The sequence below is a fragment of the Homo sapiens genome, chromosome 6, assembly GCF_000001405.40.
Source record: "Homo sapiens chromosome 6, GRCh38.p14 Primary Assembly".
Taxonomy (NCBI): domain Eukaryota; kingdom Metazoa; phylum Chordata; class Mammalia; order Primates; family Hominidae; genus Homo; species Homo sapiens.
In genome coordinates this window covers 71,026,327-71,032,488 of record NC_000006.12, presented here as the reverse complement: position 1 = coordinate 71,032,488, position 6,162 = coordinate 71,026,327, and the positions used below count along the sequence as shown (strand labels likewise).

The 6,162-nt window shown below is 40.4% G+C and overlaps 1 annotated feature.

Annotated features, from left to right (window-relative positions):
* Positions 3,595 to 4,794: an enhancer, noted in NCBI's record as "MED14-independent group 3 enhancer chr6:71737398-71738597 (GRCh37/hg19 assembly coordinates)". NCBI's record gives its function as "activates an origin of replication core promoter dependent on BRD2, BRD4, P300/CBP and CDK7 cofactors, and independent of MED14, by STARR-seq in HCT116 cells {active_cell/tissue: HCT116}" and the evidence as "EXISTENCE:reporter gene assay evidence [ECO:0000049][PMID:35650434]".

Genomic DNA, 6,162 nt, shown 5'->3' with positions numbered 1-6,162 from the left:
TATACAGTATCTACTACTCGCCAGACACTTTATATATATTATCTGCTTTACTCCTTGAAAAAATCCTTATGAGGTCTATTATTGTCATCTTCATCCTCTTTTTTCAAAAGAAACCAAGGCGTGCAGCAATTAAGAAGTTGCTCAAAATCACACCTTTAGTAGGTACCAATGTCAGGGCTTGAATCCAGACAATCTGACCCAGAGCCTATGCCCAGCAGCAGTACATTACACCACTCATCAGCATGAGAGACATATCCTGTGTTCCTTTCCCTCTCATTCTCCTCTCAAACATGTAAACAACGAATGCACAGAAAGGAAAGGTCAGTCTTTGAGGTCCGTGTGTACATAAACAGGCCTTATCGGCTTGGCCAGTGTCCTGCCCATAGCACTGAGCTGACAGCTACAGTTGAGCAACACTGCGTTTAAAAAAAAAAAAAAAGTTAGAATGTGGCTACATACAGAAGAAATATAAATGTGGTCTTGATAGTGTTCATCCCAGTTTAGGAAATCATTGATATGCATTCACATAAGAAAAGCCTAGAGAGCCCATTATGAGTTTTGCAACTAGGATGTGATACTGAGTGCAGGAAATTACTGGACTGGTGAGTCTCTAGATGAAGTGAGCTAGGAGTTGAAAACTGATTGAATATTTCTCCAGGAAAAATCTGCAAGCTCTTCTACTGCTAGATATAAAAATACAGAGGTTTCAAACCTCCTAGGAATATTACAGTATCTAATTAGGTTTCTTGAGAATGACTAAAAGTACTGACACATTTTCTTTTCTTCTAAAGGGCAAGGTTTTATCCATCATCACTGATTAATACCCAGAGGCATTTTTCATAGCCCCAGCCAGCAGTCAGTGTCAGCGACCCAGGTGGAAAGAGGCTGGGAATATAATTTCCTGACCCGGAACAATGAAGATAAGCCTAGAAAGTGGGATGGAGTAGGAGATAGGCCCAAGATTAGACCATCCCAGTGACAAAGCAAGAGGCACCTAGGAAAGTTTTTAAATAGCCAAGTAGAGGTGGCAGTTTTCCCTTCTCTCAAATATCATTGAAAAGCAATAAGGAGGCCAGGCACAGTGGCTCATGCCTGTAATCCCAGCACTTTGGGACGCCAAGGCGGGTGGATCACTTGAAGTCAGGAGTTCAAGACCAGCCTGGCCAACATGGCAAAACCTCGTCTCTACTAAAAATACAAAAATTAGCCAGACATGGCGGTGCACACCTGTAATCACAGCTACTCAGGAGGGTGAGGCACAAGAATCACTTGACCCCGAAAGGCGGAGGTTGCAGTGAGCCGAGATCACACCACTGCACTCCAGCTTGAGTGACAGAGCCAGACTCTGTCTCAAAAAGAAAAGAAAAGTAATTAAGGAGAATGAGAGACATAAATGTAAACTCTATCTTTAATGAAACTAAGAGGTGTATATAACCCCAAACTTTAGTATTAAAGGAAAAGAAGTCACATGTGGTAAAGCTCAAGATGGGTGCTAGAAGATACTGAACGGAGCACAGTTCTCTAAAGTAAGTGGCACTCTCTGAGGGCAAAGTCAACAATCCTTTGTATGGAATAACAGAAGGGTTTATATGAGAGAGTGGTAGGAGCTAACCTAGACCCTACTTAGCACAAAGGAAAATTAGAGAAGATGGGGATGAATACAGAATCATACTGGATAAGCTATAAATGTAGATAGTCATTGGTCAGGAGACAGGATGGAGAAGACACACCACATCAGAAACCATGCAGCTGCCAGTATCAACTAAGTAGAGAGAAATTGAGACCAAAGTAATTCACACATACCTATGACCCTATAATATGAGGAGAATCCTGAAACACAGAACCATGATTCTCCTTATATTATAGAATTAATTATAATTCTTATGGAATTATATTTTATTCCATAAGACTGATGAAAATTGTGAGCAAATATATTGGCATGAATTCAAAAATGTATTAAGAAACAACTGTCACTATAAAATGAGGGCTCAGAGCAGAGATGCAAGAACTCAGATGAAACATGGGAAGACAATGGGAGCAGCAGCGTTCAAGAAGCAAGAGAAAAACAAAATCATTACCAAAGTGAAGGCCACAACAAAACCAGTCCAAAAGATAATAGACATTGCTGAAACCACCTAAGGGGTACATAGAGGACAGAATTGAGAAAAATAAGCAAATGAAATGGAAATAAATAGTATAAAAGAATTACAATAAAATAATAGAGATAGAAGTTTTTAAAAGATCTAACAGAGTCCTTTTTTGTCTCAACCACAAAAGAATTAAAAACTCAAATTTTAGAATAAGAGAAATATTTAATGATATAATTCAAGAACACTTTTCAATAATAAAAGATCTGCTTGAACCTACATTTGAAAGTACATATCATGTTGCAAGAAAAAAAAGTGACACAAAAGCATCAACACTGTGGCACATCGTGCTAATGTTATTAAACTTCAAAAATAATGAAAGAATTACTTGGACCTCGAAGCAAACAGTCAATTCATCTATTAATGAAAAAAAAAATATTTTGGTCTGAGACCCTGGAAAATATTACAACATTCCAAAAGCCTAAATAGTTACTAGTAAAGAACATATGATCTAAGAATTTATACCCAACAAATTGTTGTTCAAGTACAAACAGAAAAAAAACCCTCAGGGAATATAGCTGCCATGAGCAGCTCTTGAAGAAATTACTGGAAGAACACATTTCAGCTAAACAAAAGATGATGACAAAACTACAAAGGACAGGCTGGCAGTGAGCCCTAAATCTAACTGTAGGAGTAAAACTAAATGTAGGGATTGTGGCTAAAGGATAGAGTTAAAATGCTCTAAATGTAGACAAAATTGCCATAATATAACAAATAAAATTTAGGAAGAAAGAAGAAATTAATGGTGACAGATAATGTAGTGCACTGAATTCCTTATCTTTTATAACTGGGGATTAAAACAGCAATTAAAGACATTAAATCAATAAATAAAGGTATAAATGTATTATATGTAAAGGCAAACACAAACATATCATCAACAAAAAGGAAATGGGGGCAAAGGAGGGAAAATGGAAAAGGTGGAAATGTGGTAATTTATTTCTCAGAAAGATAAAAATTGAAGATTAAACACATACCTCTCTTGGTAAACTGGGAATGAAAGAGAACTACCTTAATCCATTAAGAGTATATACAAAAAATAGCAAATATGCTTTATCCTAGAAAGTTGAAAACATTCTTTTTATGATTGAGAGCAAGATAAGGATGCCCACTATCACCATTTTTATTCAACATTTACTAGAGATATTAGAATTGTAAAGGAAGAAACAATTCTGTCATTATTCGGGAATGGTACAATTCTCTACACAGAAGAATGCAGCACTCTTTCCTGGTATTAAACCACTGTTAAGAAATCAACTGCAAGGGATCATCATGGCAGACAGGAGGCAGAACTAGATTGCAGCTCTGACTCCGATGGACAGAGCAGCATGCGGAGGCTTGCATCATGAATTTTAGCTCCAGAACAACTGCAGGAATAAATCAGGAATCCAGAGAGGACCCACAGACCCTTTGAAGGAAGCGGACTGCTCCTGCAGGACCCAGAAGACACCCTAAATACTGTGAGTGCCCAAACTGCAGAAGTGGGAAAGGGAGTTCCTCTGCCCAGAACACCCACCCCCAACTGGGGAAACCAAAGGTCTACTTTGCAGGAGAAGATTCCGACTTTACCTGATGCTGAGTCAAGTTAGAGAGCTGAGTGAAATAAAGGGGTAGAGGAAGCAGCGGGAAAGGCCCTGGGAGTTTCCTGGATCTCTGAGTAGGCCATTCCTGCATAGCACCACAGGGATCCTTCCGGAGGGCAGCCAGAGGTGCAGGGAAAATGTCACAGGGAGAAGGAAGTCTCCAGCTGAACTTTGTAACAATTTGAACTGGCCAAGAAGCCTCCTGCGAGAACTCAGGGGAAGGGCATGAATCTGGCATGCAGACTCCACAGGCAGGGGAAGAACTGAAGCCCTTTTCTTTTGCAGCTAGGAGGCAGGTCACCTGGGGCAAGTTCTCAGCCCTGCTTTCTCACTGCCTGGAAACAGACCCGGGCTGTTGGCGGGTGGCATGGTGGGAGTGAGATCAGCTCTTCGGTTTGCATAGGCACTGGGTGAGGCCTGTGACTGCTGGCTTTCCCCCATTCCTGACAGCCTGCATGACTCAGCAAAGGCAGCCATAATCCTCCCAGGTACACAACTCCATTGATCTGGGAATCTCATCCCCATCCCTCACAGCAGCTGCAGCAAGACTCACCCAAGGAGAGTCTGGGCTCAGACACACCTAGCCCTGCCCCCACCTGATGGGCCTTCCCTACCCACCCTGGTAGCTGAAGACAAAGGGCATATACTCTTGGGAGTTCTAGGGCTCTGGCCACTGCCGGTTCCTCTCCGTACTAATGCTCTCTGGAAAGCTAATGCTCTCTGGAAAGCACCATCTCCTGGCAGGAGGCCAACCAGCACAAAAATAGAGCATTAAACCACCAAAGCTAAGAACCCTCACAGAGTCCATTTCATCCCCCTACCACCTCCAATGGAACAGGTGCTGGTATCCACGGCTGAGAGACCAACAGACGGTTCACATCACAGGACTTGTGCAAACAACCCCAGGTACCAGCCCAGAGCCTGGTAGACTTGCTGGGTGGCTAGACCTAGAAGAGAGATAATTGCTACAGCTTGGCTCTCAGGAAGCTAGGAAAAGGGGGACAGTATTACATCAAGGAAACACCCCACTGGACAAAAGAATCTTAACAACAGCCTTGAGCCCCAGACTTTCCCTCTGACAGAACCTATCTAAATGAGAAGAAACCAGAAAACCAACTCTGGTAATATGACAAAACAAGGCTCTTTAACACCCCCCAAAAAAATCACACTAGCTCACCAGCAATGAATCCAACCCAAGAAGAAATCCCTGATTTACCTGAAAAATAATTCAGGAGGTTAGTTATTAAGCTAATCAGGGAGGCACCAGAGAAAGGCAAAGCCCAGTGCAACAAAATCCACAAAATAATACAAGAAGTCAAGGGAGAAATATTCAAGGAAAGAGATAGTATAAAGAAAAACAGTCAAAACTTCAGGAAACTTTGGACACACTTATAGAAATGCAAAATGCTCTGGAAAGTCTCAGCAATAGAACAAAACAAGTAGAAGGAAGAAACTCAGAGCTCAAAGACAAGGTTTTTGAATTAACCCAATACAACAAAGACAAAGAAAACAGCATAAGAAAATATGAACAAAGCCTCCAAGAAGTCTGGGATTATGTTAAACAACAAAACCTAAGAATAATCAGTGTTCCTGGGGAAGAAGAGAAATGTTATAGTTTGGAAAACATATTTGAAGGAATAATTGAGGAACACTTCCCTGGCCTTGCTAGAGACCTAGACATAAGGACTCACATAAACTGACAGTAAAGGGTTGGAAAAAGGCATTTCATGCAAATGGACACCAAAAGCTAGCAGGGGTAGCTATTTTTATATCAGACAAAATAAACTTTAAAGCAACAGCAGTTAAAAGAGACAAAGAGGGACGTTATATAATGGAAAAAGGCCTTGTCCAACAGGAAAATATCACAATCCTAAACATATATGCACCTAACACTAGAGCTCCCAAATTTATAAAAACAATTACTAATACACCTAAGAAATGAGATAGACAGCAACACCATAATAGTGGGGGGGACTTCAATACTCCACTGACAGCACTAGACAGGTCATCAAGACAGAACGTAAACAAAGAAACAATGGATTTAAACTATACCTTGGAACAAATGGGCTTAACAGATATACACAGAACATTCCATCCAACAACTGCAGAATACACATTCTATTCAACAGCACATGGAACTTTCTCCAGGATAAACCATATGATAGGCCACAAAATGAGCCTCAATAAATTTAAGAAAACTGAAATTATATCAAGCACTCTCTCAGACCACAGTGGAATAAAACTGGAAATCGACTCTAAAAGGAACCTTCAAACCATGCAAATACATGGAAATTAAATAAACTGCTTCTGAATGATCATTGGGTCAAAAACAAAATCAAAATGGAAATTAAAAATTATTTGAACTGAACTATAGTGACACAACATATCAAAACCTCTGGGATACAACAAAGGCGGTGCTGAAAGGAAAGTTCGTA